The sequence below is a fragment of the Homo sapiens genome, chromosome 17 (genome assembly GCF_000001405.40).
Source record: "Homo sapiens chromosome 17, GRCh38.p14 Primary Assembly".
Classification (NCBI taxonomy): Eukaryota; Metazoa; Chordata; class Mammalia; order Primates; family Hominidae; genus Homo; species Homo sapiens.
In genome coordinates this window covers 77,362,559-77,386,862 of record NC_000017.11, presented here as the reverse complement: position 1 = coordinate 77,386,862, position 24,304 = coordinate 77,362,559, and the positions used below count along the sequence as shown (strand labels likewise).

Genomic DNA, 24,304 nt, shown 5'->3' with positions numbered 1-24,304 from the left:
CCCCTCTTGTGGGCAGGGCAGGCACTGTGCCCCCAGCACAGCCAGAGGGTACTGGCTGAAATGTGTCCCTGTAAAGTGTCTCCCCTATGCCCGTATTTTCCTTCCAAGTGGGGAAGCCAGAGAGGCCTCCCCGATCTTTCCCCCAGCCCCCTGGGGCAGGAAGCCTGTGGTCACCTGTCCGCAAGGATCAGGTGGACAGACAACTAGCCCCTCCCAGGCCACACCTCATCAACAGAGGGCCCCTCAATTCTGCTGGTGGCCTATGAGAGAAGGAAAAACTGAAGGAGTTGTTTACAGTAAACTCCAAACCCTTGTGCCAGAGAGGCCCATGGCTGAGCAAGGTACCCCCACCCCCACTGCCCTGAGCTGCCAACTCAGCCCAGCTCAGCACTGTGACCTCTGACCTGCCTGTGGGCCACGGGAGCCTGGCCTGCCAATCAGCATCTCCCAGATACCCATCTTGTGAAGTCCCCAGTGGCTGAGTGCTTCCCCGCCCTTCCCGGACAGCGTGGGCTACAGGGGACATTGGGCAGGAAGACAGCCAAGCCTCCACTGCCCAGAAACTGCCTGGGCCCATTGCAGCAACAGGGACCCACCCACCAGCATGAGGCCCCTCTGCAGGAGGGGTGGGGGCAGGAGGGAGCCTGTGGGGCACAGGGCTGCAGGAGGAGTCATTCTTCTCTTCATTAAATCGCAGGTTTCAGCCAAGTTATCCCCAGCATGGCTGCTTGCGTGGGAAGCCCACAGCTGAGGGACTGTCTGCACGTGGCATGCAGGAGTCACAAGCGCCATCTACACCCCACCCCGGGCCAGGCAGATGACCTCTCTGGTCTCAGTTTCCTGATGAGGAACAGGAAGGGCTGGACCGAAAGATCCCTTCCAGCCCGGACATGGAATGACCCCACGAGGGCCACGGTGAGGTCTGTCCCAGCTCCGCACACTAGCTCGGGCCAGCAGTTTCCAAAGGCACAGCCGCAGGGGCCTTGGAGCAGGGACAAGGAGGACCAGCCCACTTCACCCTCCTGGGCAGAGGTCAAGGACCCTGCCTTTGGCCCACATTCCTTGTGGCCAAAAATGCAGAAGCAAGCAGTGCTGGCAGAGGCACCTAGACCTTTGGGCAAAGCAGGGGCTCCACCTGACACCCCAGGCCTGGAGCACGAGAAAACCAGCCCAGGCCTCAGGTCCCCTGACTGCCAGCGACCAGGGAATGTGACACTTTCCGGCCTCTGCTTCCTCATCTCTCAATCCTAGGGGGAGATTAGGTTGGGTGATGTGTTTTTCTTTTTGACAGTAAACTTTTATTTATTTTTATTTTTATTCTTGTTTTAAGAGGGGGTCTCCCATGGCCGGGCGCAGTGGCTCACGCCTGTAATCCTGGAACCTTGGGAGGCCGAGATGGATGGATCACTTGAGGACAGGAGTTTGAGACCAGCCTGGTCAACATGGTGAAACCCTGTCTCTACTAAAAAATATGTGAGCTGGCAACTCCAAGTCCCCAGCAGCCTCCGAATGGAGGCTTTCCTCTTGTAGGATTCTCAAATCCTACAAATATGAGTGTCTGTAATCCAGCTACTCAGGAGGCTGAGGCATGAGAATCACCTGAACCTGGGAGGCAGAGGTTGCAGTGAACCAAGAACGTGCCACCGCCACTTCAGCCTGGGACACAGTGAAACTCTGTCAAAAAAAAAAAAAAAAAAAGGTGGGGGTCTCCCTATGTTGCCCAGGCTGGTCTCAAACTCCTGGGCTTAAGGAATCCTCCTGCCTCAGCCTCCCAGAGTGTTGGGATTACGGGCACGAGCCCATGAACTTTAAAAAATAACATCTATTGCTTTGTTCCTGACTGTAAAAGGAATTTAGGCACAAAGCCGAAAATTTGCAAAATGCACAAAAACAAAGGGAAAAAATCTATAAACCCACAACCCAGGTAACTTCCATCAATATTCTGACAAATGTCTTTCCACTCTTTACTGGGGAGTGTGTGTGTGTGTGTGTGTGTGTGTGTGTGTGTGTGTGTGTGTGTTTAAACAGGTTCATACAGTGATGATGTTGGGTGCTTTCCTCCATGTGGCGCCATGTGGCTGAGGTCCCTACACATTTTGGGCCCGTTCTCTCGATTCCTCTGTAGTTCTGATGTTCTGATTCCAGATATGTCATTCTTGGCTCGGACTGTTCAGGAGAATCATTTCTGGATCTTGCTAAAAAATGGACTGCTGGTCCCCAACTCTTGGTGGTTCTGGCTCAGGAGGGCTGGGTAAGCCTGGGCACCCCGGAGTGTTTCTGGGGCGCTGCAGGTGTGAACCTCTGCCCTCCTGAAGACTCACAAGCCTCATCTCCCCCATCCCCTCCTTCCTCCCCGAGAATCCTACAAGAGGAAAGCCTCCATTCGGAGGCTGCTAGGGACTCGGAGTTGCCAGCTCACAGCCCCACCCTGCCCCCACCTCCCCGGGAGTTATCCAAGGACAATGTCCAGCCTCAGCTGCCAAGTCTCAGCTCCAGGGTCAGTCACACACTGAAGGACATGCAGAAGTCGCCGTGTGCTGGGCACTGCTGAGGACAAAGGCCTGAATGACAAGCGGGAACAAAGTCACAAGGTCCCAAAACCTGCCCGAGGTCCCACAGTCAGGGCCTCGGAAATCCATGAAAAAAGCCAGTTTAATACCCTGCCACGGAACACAGGCAGGAGAGGGAGCAGCCCCCAGCCAGCCCCCAGCCAGCCTCCCGCCAGCCTCTTTGCGAATCACCCCACTCCGGGTCACAGTCAGGGCAGCCGCCGCCTTCCTCCCTGCTCGACAGCCCTTGAGGGCAGGAGCCAGCTTGCCCATCATTGTCCCCTCTCCACTAGGGCCTGGCACCCTGCCTGGCATGTAGTAGAAGCCTAAGAAGGGCTCACTGTGTTCATTCTGCAATAGTCAATGTGTATGAGTGCTTACCATACCTGAAGACAGTGATTTACTCTTGTCCCCATTGCACAGATGGGAAACTGAGGCACTGAGAGGCTGATGACTCCCCCACATTGCCGTGTGGGCAAGGGCAAGGCCAGATGTGAGCCGGCACGCTGGGCCATCGCGCCCTCTGCCTACACTCCGCCCTGGGCCTGGGAAGGCTACCCTCGGAGATCCCCACGATGCTGACACCTCGCTCAGCCCCTCCGTGCACCCTCTCCCACGCCTCCCAGCCACCCAAAGTACCAGCCAGGTAGCACTGTTATTCTGGTTTTGCAAACTCAGTCATTGAGTGGAAGAGCAGCCAGGCTGAAGTGGGGCAGAGGCAGCCCCCGTCAGACCCCAGGGTCGGGACCCTCAGCCATCCCCACTCTCCAAGGACTAGTAGACAGAGATTTCCATCGTGCTCAGCCAGGGGCCAGGGAACAGGTCTCCACAGTGGGGGAGTGATGGATGGATGCAGGTGCGGACTGGGAGGACCCGGGCCGGCCTTCCAGCGCTGGAGCCTCAGCAGCCCAATCTACCTTGTTGGGCTCTCGTGGGGATTAAAAGACACCTTGTATACAAAGTACCAGCCCAGGGCCTGGCACCTAGGAGGTGCTCAATTAAAGGAAATGGTTATGAAAAATAACAAGGAGAAGCTCAGTCACAGGAGGTGCCTGTGGGTAAGGAGAGAACAGCTGGAAGGGCCTGGACTTGGGTCAGAGACAAAGAATGCAAGAGGGAGGGAGGGAGAGAAGGAGGGAGGGAGAGAAAGAGGGAGGGAAAGAAAGAGGGAGGGAGAGAGGGAGGGTAGGGCAGGCAACAGCTGGCTCCAGGGCAGCTGTGTGCAGGAGCCTGCTTCATCATTTAAATATTAGGAGAGATGTAAATATTTGAGTGAGGTCCTCCCAGCCTGGCCTTGCTGTGGCCACAGCCAGGGCTGGAGAAAGAGTTCCTCCCTCACCAGGGTCTCCGTTCTGTGCCCCCTACCCCAGCTGTCCCAAGATTCCATGTTTCCGGGCCAGGAGTAGGGGTCTGAGAGCAGCAACCAGGCAGGGCAGCGGGGCTAGGGAGGGACCCCGCCTTTGCTTCCACCCTCCTCCCTCGCCTTTGCCTCCACCCTCCTCCCTCTGCACAGTACTGGGCCTGCAAAGGTGCGAATGAAGGATCTCCTCCCCCACCCGACCCCAAGGGGCCCAGGCGGCCAAGGGTTTCTTTTGTAGTTTAGAAAAAAAAGCAAAGCAGCCCTTTCTGAGGTTTTCTGGTGGAGGCCCAGGGTTTAAAGCTCGCTGCTACAAACCTGCAGCTCCCTCTGCCTCTCCAACAGTGCCTCTCTCCCACCTGGGTTATTTCACCACCCTGGTCCCTCCCAGCCCTCCAGGCCTCCTGGGGAGGAGGACAGATGCAGAGCCTGGATCTCGTGCGCAGCAGGGCCCCTCCAATGCTGCGGTGCACCCCGCTTGGCTGCGGGAGCCTGTCTCATGCCATGACCTGTGCTGGCACCAACAGCCCTCTCCCCCACCTCCCACCTGAGTGCCGAGGGCAGCTGTGCCAGGCACAGACATACAGTCTTCCACACACACTATGAGTCTGCAGAAATGGCAAGAGAAGGCCGAGCGCAGTGGCTCACACCTGTAATCCCAGCACTTTGGGAAGCCAAGGTGGGCGGATCACCTGAGGTAAGGAGTTTGAGACCAGCCTGGCCAACAGGATGAAACCTTGTCTCTACTAAAAATACAAAAAATTAGCTGGGCGTGGTGGTGCGTGCCTGGAGTCTCAGCTACTCAGGAGGCTGAGGCAGGAGAATCGCTTGAACCCAGGAGGCGGAGGATGCAGTGAGCCGAGATCACGCCACTGCACTGCAGCCTGGGCAACAAGAGCGAAACTCTGTCTCAAAAAAAAAGAAAGAAAGAAAAAGAAAAAAAGAAAAGGAAAATGGCAAGAGAAGCTGGCCAGCATCACCTGCCTGGCAAACTCCTACCCCGGTCTCTGGTTAGGAAGCCTTCCTCCAGGAAGCCCTCCCGTTCTACCCCTTCTCCTGAGCCCATGCCTAGACCCCCAGTGCCTAGAACAGAGCTGGCCCTTGGGGTACCCATGGATGGCTGTTGGATAAACAAATAAGCCAACTGCCTCTCCCACCCCCAGCGATGCTCCTGGCCTGGCAGGGCATTCAGCAGTAATGCTCCTCGAGTGGATCCCAAGGAGCACCTCTCACCGTGCAGTCTGCACCAGGGATTCCAGCCCTTCATTTTAAACCAAAGGAAAAAACCCAACCCCAGCAAACATACAGAGCACTCCATTCCCTGACCTTTAATGGGGGGCAAGAGGCAGAGGACAGAGGAGAAGACCACCCCTCCAGGCCTGGTTTGGAGCCAAAAAGACTTGTATGCTCTTACTGTAGATAACATCGGTCTCTGGGGGACATAGGGCAGGGGCCTGGCCTGCCCCTCGCAGGGAAACTGCCCACCCACGTGGAAAGCGGGGCCAAGGGTCCCTGCTTGGAACCAGCTTCCTGCACATGGGGTGGGGGGTGGGGACAGAAGGAGATCCTGCCTGGACTGCATGGAAATCCACCAGACTGCTGGCTGTTGACCTGGCAGGAGCAGAGCCATCTCCATCTTTCAGGGCCCTGCCTGGGGGAGGGGAGAGGCTAGGTGGCTCTGTCCAGGCCACATTCCCCATGGCCAGGAATGCTCTCTTCCCACCAGAAAGAAAGATGAGACAGGTCCATCCTGAACCTCCTGGATACAGGAAGGGGGTCTATCTGTGGCCCAGGTGGCTCCCTCCCTCATACCCAAGGGGTCCCACAAGGAGGTGCCAGGACCCCCAGGCCCTGCCCCAGGGAACTGCTGCCTGCAAAGGCCACAGGTAGAGACAGCCAGGAATGTTCTTCATGCCACTGGCTATGGGTTGGAGGCTGCGAAACCAGGCACAGAATCAGAAAGACCTGCCACAGGCTGCAAAGGGCTCCAGAGAGCTCCAGCCCCTCAGAGGGGCAGCACTGTAGAAGGGGTGAGAAGGAAAAACCAGCTCCCAGGAACTGCCCATTCAGAGTCTACATAACACCCAGGTGGCACGAGACAACGGCCTACTCCCCACCCCACCCTTCCGCTGTCCCTCAAGACCTGAGTCCCTGGGGGTGCCCCTAGCAGACAGGGGGATGTGGGGTAACTGCCCCCCTCCAACTGTACACCTGGAGGCAACCTACACTCAGATGACCCCTCCGAGGCTGTGACCAGAGCTTGGGGCAGGGGAGGGGAAGCGGGTGGATGGGAAGGCGAGGGAGACTCTCCCAGGAAAGCCGCTCCAGGTGTCTGCAAGGCTCCATCGCCCACATCCAAGGCACAGGCTCCTGGCTTTGAGGACACAGGAAATTCGATGCCATGTGGGGAGGAGGGCACTGCAATGTATTTAAGGCCAGGCCCCTTGATTTTCTGGATATTGGACAAATGATGGCTTTCCCAGTTGGCCCAGAGATGCCAGGAGTGACAGAATGCCAAAGGCTGTAGGGGGATATTCAGAAATTTCCGAGAAAGAAGATGGACAAGGAAAAACAAAAAAATACGAGAAGCCCAGTAGAGTCTGAGCCCCGCATTCCCGGCCTCCCCCATGGCCACGGGCAATCCCCTGGAGACCCAGCTACGGGAGCAGTGGAGGCAGGCATGGGTGGGGGGGGGGGCGGGCCTCACTGTTTATGGTCCCGGCTGACATCGAGGTCATCTTCTTGTCCCTCTAAGTTTCTGGGCATTGGCAGGACTTTTAAAAACGACAACAAACTTGAAGTCTCTAGAACTGTCTGCTGGCCCAGTCTAAACGGAGCCTCGGGGCTCTGCAGACCAAATTAAACAGCCTGAGCCCAGAAATGCCCCAGGCGCCTGGGGGTGTCTAGGGGCCAACTGGTGGGTCTGTTTGGCTGGAGAGATGACAAATCCTCCCACTTCTGGGACTGTGTTCCAGAGAGTTCCGGACCCTTTGGTCTCATAAGCAACTCAGAGCCTCCAAATTTGGGAAAAACCAAGAGGGCTTTGGAAAGAAAGGCAGTGTTTGACCATTTTTCCTCAGTGGCTTTGTCAAGGGAGAGCACAGGAACTTGGTTTTTGGCTGGGTTTCTGGGATGAATCAAAATAAAAAGAAAAAGTCGGGGGAGGGGGTGGCGGAATCGTCCGGGGCTCCAGCCTAGGCTATACACCAAGGAGACTTCAGAGGAGCAGGCCAGCCCCATCCCCGGCACGATGATGGACGGGCATTTGGCTGGCTGGCAAAGGGAAGAGATGGCAACAGTGAGGCCCTGAACCCAGTGGCCAAGACTCATCCCTGAGTGTGACCTCCCCTGATGCCTGGGCATGTAAGAAATGGGAGGTGGAGAAAGGAGGAGGAGACCCTAGTTCTGCTCTCCCGGCACCAGGCTATCAGGGAACAGCACCTCTCTCCCAACGGGTAGGCAGAGGTCACAGGTTGCCAGGCTGAGAAGTCCCTGGCTCCTACAGACAAATGCACAGTCTGCATATCTGTATTACCCTGGGTGATGCCCATCACGTACGGCCACCATGCACGCTCTCCACCACCAAGACAGCCGACGAGACCAGGTGGCCACTGTGTACCGGGCACCGTGGTGACTGCCTGATACTGACCCCTGGGGGCTCAGGCTCTCGGTGGGCTTGTTTTTCCAGGCACCCAGTCCCCCCTCCACCTCCTGACACCCCGGGCCCAGTGTAGGGGTATGGGGGTGCTCAGTGGATGGGTCCACGGGCTGGGCAAGCAGCACGCAGCCTTGGCCCATCAGCCCTTGGTCTCACCACTAGACAAGATGAGACTGTTCCAGCTGCCAGCCCAGCTCTGCACCACACTTGACTGGGCCCTTGCAGAGGCCTGCTGGATGAGAATGTTCAGGGCAGCAGGCACCACTCCCTGGGATGCACACTCTGCCACAACCGCTTTTCAGGGAAAGGCCAGCCTGCAGAGCCGAACGCAGGCTGCCAGCGCCCCCGCTGTCCTCATGGTCCGGTCATCCAGCAAGTGCTCACCTCATTGTCAGCGCTTGGCCCTGCAGATGGGCATATGGTCCACCCATCTGTGACACTCCAGGGTGGGGGTGGGGGTAGATGGTGGCAGGGAAGACCAGGACAACCTCCCAGTAAGAGGAACCTGCAGCCAACATGACGCCAGCCTCCAGAATGTCAGCCAGGCAGGAAAAGGGGGGTCCCATGGCTGCACTGGGAGCCTGAGTACCTGTCGGGCTCAGAGGGACCCCCAGGCGGGCGCTACTGGCACTAGTGTCTGCCGTGCTTTCCATAATTAGTGGTGACCATGCTGTCCGGCCTCATTCATACAGTGGCATCACACAGGCCCTTGCCTGAGACCTCCCATCCCCAGATCTGCATATTTAAGCATCCAAACCTACCTGTCCTTTGCAAATGCCCCCTTTTCCCGCCCAGATGCCACACCAGCCGCGACACCCACCACACCCGTAGGAGGCAGGACCCGTGCTCAGCGCCATGGGCTGCATCTCAGAGTCCCCCAGCAACCCTCAAAGAGAGCTGTTTCTAACCCCACTTTGCAGGCAGGGAAACAGGCGAAGAAACTGAAGAAACCGAAGCCGCCCAGCTTTCCAATGGCAGAGTGAGGGCGGCCTGGGCATCCCTACACTGCCATACCCCTCACTCCTCCAAAGCACTGCCCCTCTGGATGCAAACTCTGTCCACTAGCCCCATTCAAAACCTTCCTGGACAGCCACAGCCCACAGAAAGCATTTCCAGCCTGCAGTCACCCAGTCACTGCAGGGGTGTCCTGGCGTTTACCTCCACCTGCCTCTTCCCGGACATCCAGCCCAGAGAACCCACAGCCCCGCTGCAAGGCTGATCACAGTGCATCTGCTGCCTGGGTGCTGTGTCCGCCCCCCTCTAAATGAACCAACTCGTAGTCGGGACAGTGGGTCTGTCTGGCCCTGGGCTCTGAACTCAAAGAGCATCAAGTCAGTGCTGCCAGTGGCTGTGGGACCCGTGTAAGAGGCCTGCCCCCACTCCCCATGGCTCCTGCCTCCCACCACAAAAGCTCAAACTGCAGAGAGGCAGTATTCACAGGATGCCTTGAGTCTTGGCTGAAAGGCAGGGTTCATCACGCAAGAGGCCTACTGGCATTAATTAGGGACAGGTCTGCACCTATTACCAAGCAACGGGGCCTTTTTCTCTAGAGAGGAAAGAGGCACCTGAATCCTGCCAGCGCGCCAGCTCCCACGTCCCGGAGGTGTTGGGACTCTCAGACAAGAAGGCATATCCACATGGTCCTTCCCACCCAGAAGCCCGTCCCACAGCCTGCTCTGCCTCCAGAACACAGATCTGGGGGTCCTCCTCGGGCGACAGTGGGGGCTCGGGAGAAGCTCAGATGCCACACAGCTCTGGGATCTGAGCACGTGGGTCCTGGGCCAGATTGTTTCAACAAACATCAAGGACTTTTGGATTCTTTCTCGGTGTGCAAATCTGGTTACAGCAAACACCGCTGAGCAAAGCAGGCCAACAGCTGGTACTTGGAAAGGCTTTTGTTACACAAAGACCCGAGTTGTAATCGTGTTTGCGATAACAGATTTGGCCTGAATTCACGAAAGCACATGCCGTCCGCCAGCCCCGTGCCTCCACCAACCAGAAGGGAGAAAGAGGAAAGGGTCATCCCTCTTGTCACCCTATTACGGGCAGTGGCGGGTGCTGCAGTCGCCTGGAGGCCCGTTTGTACAGTGGAAAAGTAGAAAATGAGACTCTAAAAATCTCATCAGCCAAATACAAAACATTCTCCTTGCTGCTACGTGGCGGCCTCCACAGAGCCCTAAAACCTTGAAGCTCGGAGACCTATCTTGAAGGGGGAGCAAAGGCGGGATGCGGGAAGTTTGAGTCCATGGAAGACACTGATACCCTCTCCATTCCTGGGAACCCTGAGCCTGAAGGACCCGGCCTGAACAGCGGAAGGACTGAATCCCTGTGCAACTCATCGGTGATGGAACATAAAGCCATGGTGCCCTCGGTCCCCAAGACGGGAGGGATGGGGAAGGCCCTGGGTGAAGGGGACAGGCGGGGAAGGAAAAGGTGAAGAGAAAGGTGCTCCCCAGGGAGGGGGTAGATGTGCCCAGGACATGGGACATTGGCAGAATTTTAACTCCGAGCACACACACAGGCCCACGGACGGCTTCCCGTCTACCTGTTCCTTACGGGTGTGCTGTGCCGGCCTGGGCACCTGCCTCTTTCCCCATGCCAGGTCACTTGCCGTCTACCCTGTATACTGCCACTAGTTCTAAGCCTCCCAGAACACCCTGATCAGGGCCCTGTGGCCTCTGTTACAGGATTCCAGGCCTAGACGTCTGCTCGATTGGAAAACTGCCCCCAGAGATGCCGTGGCTCAGAGCTCGTCCTGCTTTGGGGTGGCCCCTGGAGTCTCCGCCCCTCAGCAACCCACATGGTGACAGGCACCCACATCCGCTGGCCTCAGGAACCCTGGGGCCACCATCCCAGCGCTGTAAGGAGCTGGCAGTTTCCTCCCCACCCTTTCGGCCTACCTTGCAGGAACCAAGACACCAGGTGAGCCGCCCCGGGAAAGAGACCTGTGCTCCCACGGCGCTGCTCCTGCGCCCATTCCCAGCCACTCCAGATGCTTCCCGTGGACCAGCTGCACTCCCGGCGGGCATGCCTGGCCCTCCGCAGCCTGGCCCATATGATCTTCACAGGCAGGCCCCTCCTTATGCCCCAGCCCCCTCTCCAGCCAGCTCATTCCAGCCTCCCCCACTGCTGCTGGCTGCTGCTGGCCAGAAGGCTCTCCTTCCTCTTGCAATCCAATTCCTACTCTCCCTCAAGGTCCGCCTCCTCCATACTGACTTCTCCCCTGCTAGCTAGTGGTGACTTTTCTCTACCCTGATTCGGAAGCTGCCTGTCCACATCACCCCTGGCTGGGCTGAATCACACTCTCTCCTCCACCTCCTTCAATCATCCCTTCCCCACGTCTGTCTGTCCACCCAAGGTTGTCCAACTCCCATATACACACCCCCACACCCTCCAACTATACTCCAGGCTCCTTGGGCACCAGGGAGGGCCACCTTTCCATACCCCAGGTCAGCCCCCATGCACATGCGCACTCATGCACACACACACTCTCTCACGCCTATCGACTCGGGCCACCTGATGGCTCTAAGACCAGAATTCCCAGCAAAACCATTCAGGACACACAAGGGGGAGACTGATAAACACAGGGAACCAGCAGATTGAGGCCCCACTCCCCGAGACTGAGAAACCTTCCCCCAGAGCCAAAGGATTGCCAACTGCTGCACCAGGATGGTCTCAATGAGCCCATTGTCTTGGACTAAATTACAGGGTCACAAAACTGGCTTGGGAGACAGCCGCAGAAGCAGCTCCAGATGGAGGCACATGGGGGCAAGGGTGGAGTTACACCCAGAGACCCAAGGAAGGGGCACTAACAACTTTCATAGTGCAAATGGTGACAGCTGTACAACGAACACAACCCCAAACCCTGGCCTCCCCTCCCGCCACAGGGCTCCCGTTGAGACACGAGAGTTCTTCCCCAGAAATCCCACTGGGGGCCCGACACTTTCTGTTAGGAACTGAGAGCAGAGACCTCGATCCCGCAGGCAGGAGGAGAGCTCTGCACAACACAGGGCCTCTCTCCATAAGGGCTTACTGGAAAGTGGTCAGACCGGCTAAGTCGTGCCACTTGGACATTTGGGACAAGGAAGGCCCCTGGAGGAGCGGTCGCAGGGAGGAGTTGCAAAGAGGCAGGGGCAGGGAGGTCACATTCACTCGGGGACTGCAGGAGGCTCAACGGAACACAGTGGACCTAGGGAGACCCCAGTATGAGCATGTGCCCAAAGATGTCCAGATGAGGAGGTGTTGTGGGGGAGGGGGGCGGGAACAGCAAGCCCTCCCAGCTCTGCAGACCCAGACCTCCCCTCCCTCTGGGAAGCAGGGATGCAAAGGGATAGAGCCTGAAAAAGGGCTTTCACCACTAAGCTGACAAAGTAACTACGATGTTTCCAGCTCACACTCTGCACAGCGCCAGTGGCCACTGGATCACAACCCCCTCCCGTCCCTTCGCCGCCCCACACCCTCCTCAGGCCCAGCCCTGAAGAACAGCCACTGGCACTCTGCTTGGCGTCCAGCCAAAGTTCTGGTCCCCCAGGAGGCCCCGCCTCCCCCACTCAGATAGGGCTGACCCCAGGTGGGCCGTGTGGGCAGCTGGGCTCAGGACACCCAGATGTCAGCCCTGGTTCTGGCCATGGAGCGGGGAGGACCTCAGGCTGGTCACCTCCCAGCTTGGCCTGACACCTGGACAGTTTGCTCATTTCAACACAGCCTTTCCCCCTCCCGGCCCACCAGAGGGCTCTGCCCAAGTCAGCCTAGGAGCCTCTCCGAGGGGCGGGGGCTCCAGGTCCCGGCAGAGGCAGGCCCGCCCCTCAGAAGCCCTGCCCCAGAGCGCTGGAGACCATTGTGTGAGCTTCCCCTTCGCCTGCTGTATTTACTCCCGCGGACGCAGGACGCAGAGCCCCAGCACCGGCAGTCAAGAGGACGCAGGAAAGCGCACGCACTCACAGGCTCAGAGACGCGGACGCCAGACCCAGGCTTGGACAGAGCAGCCCCGCAAGTCCCAACACACTTTGTAAACCCCGAAGACAGGAGAGAGCCAAAATACTCTCCCTGCCCGCACGCAGGCCCCTTCTGTCCCCCACGGCCCGATTCTGGGAGGCGGATGAGGATATCCCCAGGCCTGGATGGGGGCCATGGGACATCCCACTCTAGACCCTGCCACGACCTGGGCTGTGTCCGTTCGGTGCTCCCGGCCCACGGGCTGCACAACTTGGCGGCCCCGAAACTGGCGTGGGGGAGGGGAGGGCTGTCCACCCGAGCAGGACGCGGCTGTCCACTCAGTCGGAGGTGAGGAACGACCTCCCTATCCCGTTGCCGGGTCCAAGCGGGGCCCGAGAGCCGCCGGGGAGAGCCAAAGGGAGGGGACCGATGGATTTCCCAGAGTGAAACTGTGCGTCCTGGAGAGTTCCGAGGCAGCCTCGCGAGCCCTCGAGGAGGTCGCTGTCGCTTGGCAAACACAAACAACAATAAAAGGAAGGAAACCCAGGCGGCAGTGCGCAGAACGAGCACAGGGTCCTGTGAGGGCGCGCAGGGTCTACGCGGGTGCCCCTAACAGGGTCCCCCACGTAGGCGGCGCGGGCACGGGGCCGGGGGCGCGCGGCGCTCTCAGCGGGAGGGCGCCTGGATTAGGGGTCCCGTCTCCCCTCAGCGCACTCCCGTCTCCCCTCAGCGCACCCCCGTCCCGCGCCAGGCCCACCCGCAGGGTCCTCTCCAGCACGTCCGCGGCCGCAGCAGCCAGCCCAGCACCCACCTTCGAAGTCCGAAATGATCCCATCCAGCTGCGCGTTGACCGCGGGGTCCGACATGATGGCTGGTGGGCAGCGGGTCGCGCGGAGGGCAGCGGCGAGGAAGCGCCCCCGGCGGGGCCCGGGCCCTGCGCGCTGGCTGGGGCGCCGCGCCCGCGCTCCTGCAGTGCAGAGCTAGCCGCCGGAGGAGCCCCTAGGCCCCCTGGCTCAGCTGAATGAATGGGGGAGGAAGGCGGGCGCCGGCCCCTCCCCGCGCGCTGCGCCCCCGCCCCGCCCCCGCCTCCCGGGCGGATCAGGTTCCCGCACCCGCACCGGCCTCCCTGTCTCGCACTGGCTGCTCCGCCCGCCTGTCAAGGCCAGGCCTGGGGGGCTGGGGCCCGAGTGGCCGCTGGGGGACAGTCCTGGGCACACGACCGGAGCGCCCCCCTCCTCCCCGCCTGGCCCGCGCCCAGGGGACGGCGAGAGACGCGGCCTCAGCCCCTCCCCCCGGGCGCCCCGCTGCGGCCAGATGTGGGCGGATGTGGAGGCCGGGCCATGGCGAGGAGGGCGGGCGCCCAGAGGGGAAGAGATTCCTCCCCTTCCCCGGGCGCAGGGTCCTTCTGCAGGAGGCTGTATTTGGGCAGCCAAACAAAGTTCTCTGTCACCGCCGCCGCGCGCTCTGCGCCTGCAAGGGTTAAACGGCAGCGCACGCGGCTGGCAGGCAGGATCCCGGCCTGTGGGCTCAAGAGCCGAGGGGCGCAGGGCGAACATGCGAGTCCCATGGCACCAGCGAGAGGCCACCAACTCCCACCCACCGAGGGCACCCCTGCAGCTAACACCCCCACCACGACCACCGCCCCGGGGGCCACCGCTGCACCCTCCTGGGTGAGCCCTGGAGAAGGCACTGTCCGGGAGAAGGGGCACAGGGCGGGGATGGAACACGGCTGTCAGAGAAGCCAGGGACGGGCGACGCCTCCCTTCCTCCACAATAAGGGCCTCCTGAGAGCAGGAAGTAGACCTTGTCAGGAGCAGACGTTTCCGAAGGAAGGTGTGAAGGAAGGAGCTAGGCAGTGAGTGAGCAGAAAGGGAGCTGCCCCAAGGGCTTCTCCCTCCCTTCTGGGCCCTAACCTGAGGCCTAGCCTTCCCTCCAGGCCAGCGGTCTCTACCCTTAAACTATATCATCCACAAGGCAGGCAGGGCCGAGGGGCTGGGGTAGACCTGGGGACCTGGGTTAGACACAGAACTTGAGAAGCAACAGGCTCTCATCCTCAAGAAGGGCCCCCCAGGTCTGTCACCTACAAGAGAGAGAGGCGCTTCTTCCACTCGCCCTGGAAAGCCAGAAACCCACTCCTGCATGCTCTCCCTGTCACCCCGTCCCTTAGACCCTCGGCCTCTGCCCAGAGTCAGGGGCCATGTGAGAATTCACAGCATGGAACAACACCCCCACCCCCGAAGCAGCAGGCCGCAACGCTACAACTGCACTCCGGTCCCTTGAATGTGTGGCCGGGGAGCGCCTGACAGCTCATCCTGGGTCTGAGGTCGCTCGCTGCCCACTTGCCCCTCCCCACCCCCTCTGAAATATCCCAAATGTGCAGGAGTGCTGAGACTCTCCAGCCATTCTGGAGAGGCGGGGGGCAGGGGGTCTCTTGCGGAAAATGTTCTAGGTTTGGGTGGCTTTTTAAGTAGATGAAATCAAGTCCTTCCTTTTTAAGAAAAGCAGGCACTCCCTCCCTCATGCTTTGGATATTTTGAACTATTTTCAACCAAGTGAGTTTGTGGACATGGGAACTGCAAAACCACAGACATTTCAGATGCGTGCACACCCTCGTCGGCCTGGGAGCCCGGGTTTCAGAAATGCAGCCATTGCTGCCATTAATAGCACCCCGTATCTTCCACGCCAGGCCAGGGTATGTCTTGTCTGAACTCCAGCACCTGGGCCTATCGGATAGTCCAGCCCCTACTGGGCCACCTGTCCACGCCGTATTTGGGGATTTGGGGGTCCAGTACCTAAGAAACTCAGCCCAACAACACAGCCCCCCTGGGAAGATGCCGGGTCCGGCACAACAGCCATCCTAAGCCACAGCATTATTCTCGAGTGTTTTTCTAAAAAGCACCTGGTGAGTGTGGACACACCCATGCAATTGTTCTTTCCCAGGGCTGGCATGGAGTTCCACCAGATTAGCACAGGGTCAGCCAATTGTACATTCTCCATCTCCACGCACAGTGCAGCAAACATATTTAGTTCCCTGGGGAGCGCCGCCAGGGTGCACGCCTCACCAAAATGGGAACCCAAGGGACAATGGCAGGAGAGCAGCCAGAAAGTGCGCATGCCTTCGTGACTGTGCTCAGAGCCCACCGGCTCCAGCCCCAGCCACTGCCCCTTCAATGTAATCACTCAGAGCCACATGACCAGGCCTAGAAACCTCCAGGTAAGGAGGTTCCCCGAGCTCTTTCAGGAAACCCAAATCAGGGCTTGGCCATACTCCCAGCCAGGAAGTTCACCCTCGTATCTAACCAACTGCTCTAATTGTACATCATTTATTTCCTTTTTTTTCCTGTCCTCAGAGGAGATGGGAAACAGCTGGGCACCACCCTTCAAGTCATAATTACCTTTTCCACATTCAAGGACAATCCAGTTGCTCCTTGGCCTCCTCTTTCTCAGCCTAAATCATCTTTCTCTAGCCCTTTAATCATATCCCGAGCTGTCCTTTGATCATAGCTAAGGGCTGGGTCCAGTCTGGGGCTCCAGGATTTTAATGAGGCCTCATTGCTACAGGATAGTGAGGAGGCCCTCCACCCCCCTTTTCTAGGGCCTCAGGGCCTGGACACACAGTCCCAGAAGGGGCACTGGGCAGAGAAGATGCACGCCGGCAGCAGAGAGGAAACTGAGCTGAAATTTGGCAAGAACAAAAGAACTATAAAGGCCTGTGCATCCAGCAAGGTGCATTCTTCCACGGTCACAAAAGAAGGCAAGACCGACTGCAGGCCTGGCCAAAGGGACCGCCTGCGTCTTCAGTGCACAACGAGACCTACAGTGGGCCGGTGATCCCCCCCAAAACAAAGATATGCCCACTTGGAACCTCAAATGTGACCTGATTCTGTTTAAGGGTCTCTGCAGAAAGAATTTAGGCAAGGATCTCAAGATAAGGTGGGCCCTAAATTCAATGCTGTGTCCTTCTAAGAGACAGAAAAGAAAGTACAGAGACACAGAAAAAGGCCTTGTGAAGACAGAGGCAGAGACCGGAGTGATGCAGCCACAGGCCAAGGAACACCTGGGGCCACCAGAAGCTGGAAGAGGCAAAGAAAGGTTTTCCCCTGGAGTCTTCAGAGGAAGCTGGCCCTGCTGGCACCTTGATTTCAGACTTCTGGCCTCCAGAACTGTGAGAGGACACATTCCCCTTGCTATAAGCCACCCAGTTTCGACAGTTGTTACAGCAGCCAGGAGAAACTCGTGCCTTATTCCCATCTGCATCATGCCTTGAGGTCAAAGCTTCATACAGCAAAGATGTCTAAGCAATCACAAACCCTGTGGGTAGCCCACCCGTCCAGCAGATCACTGTCCCAAGGGAAGGGGGATGGGGACAGGGAAGAGAGCCATAGGAAACCCCTGCACGCCTTTCTGGAAATGGGAAGGAGCAGGTCTGGAGAGAAACCCCACAGGTCAGGCCCCGGGGAAATGAAGCTTACAAAGCGTGGGAACGGAGTGGGGAGGAAATCCACGAGGAAGCAGCGTTTGGCGCACACATCCATATCCATGACCCCCCTCCAGGCACAGCCTCCATGGAGAGGCTCAGCTGGCAGGGAAGCAAAAGAGGCTCGGAGAGCGAAGGAAGGTGAGGGGCTTTCTCCCAGCAACACTGAGGCTCCAGACGGGACACCCCATTAGGTGGCAGGCTGTGTCCTCATAGACAGAGACTTCCCAAGGGCAGGGCCCAGATGGTCTTATCTCTGCGTGGCCTGACACAAAGTAGGCCTCCCAGAGCTGCCGAGCCCTGGGTCCGTCAGTGGCAGAGCCTTCCACAGCCCCTCAAGTTCCCACAGCCCCTCATCTTAGGAAACGGTGCTACCATCCACCTAGTTGCTCAAGCCAAGTCTCCGGGCACCACTGTTGACTCCTCTCTTTCCCTCACCCTCAGCATCCAAACCATGGTGCGTTTCTACCTCTAGTCTCTCTGCGAATCAGTCTGAACCTCCCTCCTCCAGTAGTGTGCCAGTTAACGGTCAACAACCGGCCACCTGGGGCCAGCAAAAGCAACAACACTCAGTTTCCCGATTTGTAGCGCTTGCCTATTCCTGTGGTGTCAATATTCCTGCCTTGGCCAATTTCTTTCTTTTCTTTTCTTTTTTGACAGGGTCTCACTCTGTCACCCGGTCTGGAGTGCAGTGGGGCAATCCTGGCTCACTGCAAACTCCACCTCCCAGGTTCAAGTGATTCTCCTGCCTCAGCCTCCCAAGTAGCTCGGATTACAGGCACCCGCCACCACTCCTGGCTAATTTTTGTATTTTTACTAGAGATGAGGATTCACCCTGCTGGCCAGGCTGGTTTTGAACTCAGATGATCTGCCTGCCTTGGCCTCCCAAAGTGCTGGGATTACAGGCATGAGCCATCGTGCCCAGCCGGCCAATTTCAAGTTATCTGTATGACATCATTGGAGGTGAGACTGAGAAGAGATGTTTAGTCACCACGAATATAGTGTTTCTATCATACAAATACAACCTCAAGAACATAACCGCAACAGGACAGACAATAGTTAAATGTTGCAAAAAACCTAAGAGGTGATGAAAGTTGTGTATTTATTATCTTTTGTTTTAAATATAATTACTTATAAGTAATTTTTTAATGTTTTGCTTAATTTTTCCTTCATAACTTGTAATTTAATTCATATTGTAAAAATCTATCATTTTTCTAATAGAGCAATGCATTTTTACTGTGATAAAATATATGTAATATAAAATTTACCATTTTTGGCCAGCCACCATGGCTCACGCCTGTAATCCCAGCACTTTGGAAGGCCAAGGTGGGTGGATCACCTGAGGTCAGGAGTTCAAGACCAGCCTGGCCAACATGGTGAAACCCTGTCTCTACTAAAAATACAAAAATCAGCCGGGCGTGGTGGCAAACGCCTATAATCCCAGCTCTCTGGGAGGCTGAGGCACGAGAATCGCCTGAACCTGGGAGGCGGAGGTTACAGTGAGCCAAGATCACGCCAGTGCACTCCAGCCTGGGCGACAGAGCGAGACTCCGTCTCAAAAAAAAAAAAAACAAAAACAAAAAAGACAAATTTACCATTTTAACCAAGTTTCCATGTTAGTGACATTAAGTACATTCACATTGTACACCCATCAACACCATCCACCTCCGAAACTTCTTCCAACTTCCCAAACTGAAACTCTGTCCTCATTAAACAATAACTCCCCATCCTTCCTTCCCCTAGCTGCTGGCAACCGTCATTCCAATTTCTCTATGAATTTGACTTCACATAAGTGAAATCATACAATATTTGTCCTTGTGAGACAGGCTTACGTAGCATGAGGTCTTCAAGGTTCATTATTCAAGGTTCACATGTAGTGACAGAATTCCGTTCCTTTTGAAGGCTGAATGATATTCCACTGTGTGTACACACACTTTGTATATCCATTCCTTCCACATTTGAGCAATTGAGAGTAAAGCTGCTACAAACATGGGTGTGCAAATATTTGTTCAAGTCCTTGCTTTTATTATTTTATTATTATTATTTTATTTATTATTAGCATTATTATTATTTTAGACAGTCTCACTCTGTCGCCCGGGCTGTAGTGTAGTGGCGTGATCTCGGCTCACTGCAACCTCCGCCTCCCAGATCGGAGCAATTCTCCTGCCTCAGCCTCCCGAGTAGCTGGGATTACAGGCACCCGCTACCATGCCCGGCTAATTTTTGTTTTTTTAGTAGAGATGGGGTTTCACCGTGTTGGCCAGGGTAGTCTCGAACTCCTGGCCTCAAGTGATCCATCCTCCTCAGCCTCCCAAAGTGCTGGGATTACAGACGTGAGCCACTGCGCCCAGCCATCACTTTAGTCTTAAACATCACAGCAACTCTCCCATTGTCCCATGAGACCCCTTGAGACAGTGGCTTTAGGGACTCCACACACACCTGTTCGATCCTGTGCAATGACAAAGCGCAGTTTCCTTTGCAGAATGGCAGAGTCGGGAGACTCCTGATGGGGCATGAGCCCAAAGGGGCAGAGGGGACGTTCAGAACACACATGGATTCTTCATGTGCGTTCTGCCAGCCACCAAGCAGACCTGCTCCAGCCTCGACATGCCCAGGATCACAGACAGTGCATGGTTTCCACCTGGGCCAAGCCCCCGGAACCCCTTCTCTCTTTACATCACCTGTACTGGGAGCAGCCACCAGGCTGTGGACCACTAAGTCTCTTTCAGGCCACCTGAGTTTGCATTTCCCCATTCAGCCTGACTGAGCCGGTGTGCAGCTACCACACCCCATCACACCCTCTGCCTGGCCGCTTCAATGCAACCATAAGGTTTCACTCAAAGAAGCACATGACCAATCTGTTCCCCAGACTTCCCAGTGATCCCCCCAGCCTGCTTTGTGCAGAACATTTACAGCAAAACCTGACCACAGCGGCCTGAGCTCTTATCTCCAAGGCAGGGGACTTTTTAAACAAAGTATTAGTGTTCTAAATTCATGATCTCCCAAGGAGGCTCCTGGCCTTCAGCACAGCAAATGCTCTGCTCCATGGCTCCCCGGTTCCCCACCCCCACCTCATCCGAGCTCCCCGCTCCGGCACTTGGGACTGAATCAGCTTGGAGTTCCCCAGCCCTGCTGCCTGCTGGCTCTGATGATACCACCAGGGACTGCAGCACTGCCTGGACCTTCTGTTGCTACATTTTATTGCAATAACATCCAACCTGATGGAACCCTGGGAGCAAGTGGCAGGGGCAGGGATGGTGGTGGTCAGGGGCTGCACACACACAGGACAGAAGGACTGAAGGACTGGGTGGAAAGTATGACCCCTCCAAGATGATCCCTCTCCAGCAGAACCCTGGCTGTGCCTCCTGAACAGCATTTGTTTATTTGCACACCTGGTGAGCTTTGTGATTAGTAAATTCAGATGCCTGGGAGGCCACCAGCGGCTCTGCTGAGGTATAACCCAGACATGATAGCTCATGTTTTCTTCCTGATCCTTCTCTCTTCACACAGTCCCATGACCAGAGCGTTCCTCCTACTCCTGTTCCTACTCCAGCCCCGCAAGACACAGTCGTGAAATGGCTAAAGTCTCCAACTTCCTAGCACCCGTCTGAGACTGGAGTACAAAAATGAGATGGGGACACAGTATCCCATGGACACCAGTGATGGAAAAAAACCCTCTGACCCTTCCGGGAGCTCTGCAAAGTCACACTAGGGGACAAGAAGGAGTGGCCAGCCTGGCACCGACCCAGCCTCAAAGCAGCCAGTGACTAAAGCACACAGCTGGTACCTCCTCACCCCCAGGGTACCAGGAGGCTTGGCTAGAACTCATGCCAGCCAGGAGAAACAGGCTGTCCCTGGGGCCCTTGGTGTCCTGGCCTCCCTACTGTTTTTCTGAAGAAGGCACCCTGCTCTGTGGGGTCTGAGGCTGGAGGCAACTTGCCACCGATGCAGTGCAGGGATGAGGGCTGAGTCACCAGCCTGCCCTAGTTCCACGTCAGCAGGAACAACAGGGACTCAAGCAGAGAAGAAAGCATTTATTTTCAAAGTCACCACAGTGACTGAGGCGACGTGGTCCCCAGGGAGCTCTCCTCCCTGCTGGCCCTCTGTGGACCGCGGCTCCATGTTCTAACAATGCCTCTGCCCATCCCGTAAGGCCCAGCAGGTGGAAGGAAAGAGGGTGGAGGTTGGGAGTGGCGGCCTGGCAACCCGGGAAGGGCAGGGAGCAGGAACATGCCCTCCCTCTTCTGCACCCGCTCAGAAGGCTCCACAGGGCCTGTCCTGCCATCCACAATCCCAGGGAGATCCTTCCTCAATGCCTGCCCTATAAATGCCCATCCACCCTACACTTGAACACCTCCAGTTACAGGGAGCTCAGTACCTACCTATGCCATTCATTCTATCTTTGGCTGTTCAAAAAAGAGGAAAGAGAGAGAAAGAAAAGATAGGAAAGACAGAGAAAGGGGGAAAGAGAGAGAGAGGAAAGAAAGAAAGAGGAAAGAATAAGACAGGAAGGAAAGAAAAAGGAAGGGAACGGAAGGGAAGGAAGAGAGGGAAGAAAGAGAGAAAGAGAGAGAAAGAGGTACAAACAAGGCAGGCTTCATGGAGCAGAGACTCAATAAGGGAGCAAAATACATCTGCAGTCAGGCTGTAGATGGATTTCTACAGGAGCGCATATCCACTCTACTCTTTCCGGAACAGAAAAGTGGAAAGAAGATGTAGCGGTGTGGGTGGGTGGCGGCTCTTTCTGGGGGCCTGGAATGTGGGGCATCAGCCCTCTTGGTTTTGAGAAGGAGACTAAGATCACCAACATCCACAGTGGAGACCGAACCACATAAGGGCTGGGGACATCGTCTCTTCTGCATCTCTAACAAAGACCCGATGCTCTAACTATGGGAACCTGTGGAAGAAGAAACAAAACTGGCTCTGGGGCCCTTTAGAGAACTGGTTTTCCATCCAGTGGTGGTTGTGAAGAAATTTCTGGAGCCAGCCTCAGCGGCCTGGGCCTGCACAGCTGAGACTGTCCCTGGAAGCTGAGTGGAAGTGGGGAGCCTCCAGGCACAGCTGGGCTCTGCTCCCCACCTCAGCCAGCAGCCCCAGGACTTCTGGGTGCTCCAGAGCTTTCTCCAGAGGGCAAATCCAGAGTATGAGGGAGCGGGGAGATGCCCAACATTGGGGGACCCCTGCCCGTCTCTGCCCCCAGCCTCGCTGACCTGAACAGGGAGGCCATGGGTGTTCAGGGGTAGAACTGTGGGCTGGCAAGCCCCCAGCCCTGGTCTCTTCCTGCCCCCCTCTCCTCACTGCCACTGACCATCTCTGGCTACATGTTGACACCTCCACAGGATGATGGAGAAGAGAGAAGAGGAACCTCTCCGCTCTGCCCAGCACACTCCAAAGAGGCTCCAGTGCAAAGGCACCGACGTTCACAGCCAAATGTGTGTGGGGGTTCCCCAGGAGTGGGACGCTTCCACTCCGTTCCAGACTGCCATGAATCGACAGAAGGTTTTATGTCACCAAATATACCCCATTAACAAATTACCCTAACACTCAGTAAAAAAATAAATAAAAATGCATGCACCCCGTGCCCTGCAGTGCCCCCATGCCGCACCCCTCTTTGCACCTGAGCCTCGGCTCGCGCTCTTGGCCTGCCGCCTTGGGAACAGAACGCTCTGCGTGGGAGGCAGACAGGAAGCGCGGGGTGCGCTGGCTGGGCCCCTCCAGACAATCTGGTATTGCTTTCCCCAGATAATGAAATCTTCCCCACCCTGAGTGTCTCTGGAAGCCAGCCGGCAGCCAGATCAACCTAAATGAACCATTTGTCCCTCCTGTGAAGTGACCTCAGGGACCTAATGGGTTTGTTATTAACACAGTCCCCCTCGCACTCTGTTCCCCCTCCTCACTTTTCTCCCCCTGCATGAGTCACTGGCCACGATGACTCGGCCCAGCCAAGGGACCTGGCCAGCTCTGGCCAGGCTATGTGAGAGACAGCACAAAGGACCAAGGCTGCCGGAACCAGGCCAGAGGCTGAGGGCCACACGGACCCCCTGGAGTGTCTGTAACTGGGGACTCCTAAGGCTGCTCCTTGGTTCTGGGGACCTGTCCACTTGGGGACAGTCTTAAGGGAGACTCTTAAAAGCAGGGAGCCAAAAGGGTGAACTAATACAGAAACACTGAGGGCCAGGGAGAACTTGAAGATGGGCTCGGCTGGGCACAGTGGCTCATGCCTGTAATCCCAGCACTTTGGGAGGCCAAGGTGGGCGGATCACCTGAGGTCAGGAATTCGAGACCAGCCTGGCCAACATGGTGAAACACCATCTCTACTAAAAATACAAAAATTAGCCGGGTGTGGTGGCAGGTGCCTGTAATCCCAGCTACTCAGGAGGCTGAGGCAGGAGGATTGCTTGAACGCAGGAGGCAGAGGTGGTAGTGAGCCAAGATTACACCACTGCACTCCAGCCTGGGCAACAGAGTGAGACTCCATCTCAAAAAAAAAAAAAAAAAAAAAAAAAAGACAGGCCCAAGGCCTGGAGAGCCAGAAGTCACCTTCCCACCTCTGGGTGGCCCACTTTGAGATTGTATCACGTCAGAGAAAGTTGCGGGAGTGTCTGTTTATAATTCATAAGCAACACTGTTTCCTTCTCCCACTAGCTCCTGGCTCTAGCAGGCCCCTGACTCGTGCCTTCCCCAGGGTCTTGGGTCCCCCCAAGCTGGACTCCCGGCTGTTGGTGGGATGACCATGTGACCTGTCACTTCCCTGCCCACCGTCCTGGGCAGCCTCTGTCACCTGGTGCATACAGAGTGGAGCTCAGCAAGGCCGGGGCCGCCGATCTCCTGCCAGCCACATCTGCCTCCTCTCACGCCACTTCTCCCCGCCTTGGTCATGCCCAGGGGCTCACACTTCCCCACAAGCCAGGTGCCAGACCTCTGTGCCTGCCCTATCCTGTTCCCTCTGCCTGGTGGGCCCCTCACACCCTCCCTGGCCTGACTCAGGCCTGATCTGTCTTCAGGTCTCAGCTCAGAGGCTGCTTCTTCTAGGAAGCCTTCCTGGGATCGTCAGATGAAGGGATTCTCCTCTGGACCCTTCTTCTATTTTCACAGCCTCAGGAACAGCCTCTAACTCAGGCCTTACTGAGTTAGTGTGGCATCCAGGAGAGCCACAAGCGTGTGACGAACGTGTTGAAGCCTTTTTAAAAGCTGAAGGAGCCCTGTGAACATACAGCAGCATCAGCTCAGACTGCGAAGGCACAGGGGAGTCAGCCTCCTTCAGCCTCGTCTGCCCCTGGCCTTCCTCTTGAGGAGGTGGGAGCCAGTCAGCTGGGATTAGGAGGTGG

At 56.9% G+C, this 24,304-nt stretch overlaps 1 protein-coding gene across 6 annotated transcripts in view, besides 9 other annotated features; it reads right to left on the bottom strand.

The window, feature by feature from the left end:
• The window catches only part of SEPTIN9 (septin 9), a 219,098-nt gene that overhangs the window by 113,734 nt on the left and 81,060 nt on the right, over window positions 1-24,304 (bottom strand). Inside the window, exon 1 of one of the 6 annotated variants that reach the window (NM_001113493.2) lies at window positions 13,311-13,526. The exons of 4 other annotated variants lie outside the window; for them this stretch is intronic. In NM_001113493.2, coding sequence (NP_001106965.1) covers window positions 13,311-13,365 — 55 coding nt within the window. In that variant the 5' untranslated portion in view covers window positions 13,366-13,526. 6 annotated transcript variants of the gene reach the window in all.
• Window positions 3,241-3,778: an enhancer, noted in NCBI's record as "H3K27ac-H3K4me1 hESC enhancer chr17:75379167-75379704 (GRCh37/hg19 assembly coordinates)". NCBI's record gives its function as "activates a minimal SCP1, AML or CMV promoter by ChIP-STARR-seq in naive H9 embryonic stem cells {active_cell/tissue: H9 hESC(naive)}" and the evidence as "EXISTENCE:reporter gene assay evidence [ECO:0000049][PMID:30033119]".
• Window positions 3,779-4,316: an enhancer, noted in NCBI's record as "H3K27ac-H3K4me1 hESC enhancer chr17:75378629-75379166 (GRCh37/hg19 assembly coordinates)". NCBI's record gives its function as "activates a minimal SCP1, AML or CMV promoter by ChIP-STARR-seq in naive H9 embryonic stem cells {active_cell/tissue: H9 hESC(naive)}" and the evidence as "EXISTENCE:reporter gene assay evidence [ECO:0000049][PMID:30033119]".
• Window positions 8,801-9,411: an enhancer, noted in NCBI's record as "H3K4me1 hESC enhancer chr17:75373534-75374144 (GRCh37/hg19 assembly coordinates)". NCBI's record gives its function as "activates a minimal SCP1, AML or CMV promoter by ChIP-STARR-seq in naive H9 embryonic stem cells {active_cell/tissue: H9 hESC(naive)}" and the evidence as "EXISTENCE:reporter gene assay evidence [ECO:0000049][PMID:30033119]".
• Window positions 10,375-10,434: an enhancer, noted in NCBI's record as "active region_12830". NCBI's record gives its function as "activates an Ori minimal core promoter by ATAC-STARR-seq in GM12878 lymphoblastoid cells {active_cell/tissue: GM12878}" and the evidence as "EXISTENCE:reporter gene assay evidence [ECO:0000049][PMID:35858748]".
• Window positions 10,537-11,226: an enhancer, noted in NCBI's record as "H3K4me1 hESC enhancer chr17:75371719-75372408 (GRCh37/hg19 assembly coordinates)". NCBI's record gives its function as "activates a minimal SCP1, AML or CMV promoter by ChIP-STARR-seq in primed H9 embryonic stem cells {active_cell/tissue: H9 hESC(primed)}" and the evidence as "EXISTENCE:reporter gene assay evidence [ECO:0000049][PMID:30033119]".
• Window positions 13,415-13,914: a silencer, noted in NCBI's record as "silent region_9034". NCBI's record gives its function as "represses an Ori minimal core promoter by ATAC-STARR-seq in GM12878 lymphoblastoid cells {active_cell/tissue: GM12878}" and the evidence as "EXISTENCE:reporter gene assay evidence [ECO:0000049][PMID:35858748]".
• Window positions 21,890-22,546: an enhancer, noted in NCBI's record as "H3K4me1 hESC enhancer chr17:75360399-75361055 (GRCh37/hg19 assembly coordinates)". NCBI's record gives its function as "activates a minimal SCP1, AML or CMV promoter by ChIP-STARR-seq in primed H9 embryonic stem cells {active_cell/tissue: H9 hESC(primed)}" and the evidence as "EXISTENCE:reporter gene assay evidence [ECO:0000049][PMID:30033119]".
• Window positions 22,547-23,205: an enhancer, noted in NCBI's record as "H3K4me1 hESC enhancer chr17:75359740-75360398 (GRCh37/hg19 assembly coordinates)". NCBI's record gives its function as "activates a minimal SCP1, AML or CMV promoter by ChIP-STARR-seq in primed H9 embryonic stem cells {active_cell/tissue: H9 hESC(primed)}" and the evidence as "EXISTENCE:reporter gene assay evidence [ECO:0000049][PMID:30033119]".
• Window positions 22,722-23,016: an enhancer, noted in NCBI's record as "tiled region #9876; HepG2 Activating DNase matched - State 1:Tss, and K562 Activating non-DNase unmatched - State 5:Enh". NCBI's record gives its function as "activates a minimal TATA promoter and a strong SV40 promoter by Sharpr-MPRA in HepG2 and K562 cells {active_cell/tissue: HepG2 | K562}" and the evidence as "EXISTENCE:reporter gene assay evidence [ECO:0000049][PMID:27701403]".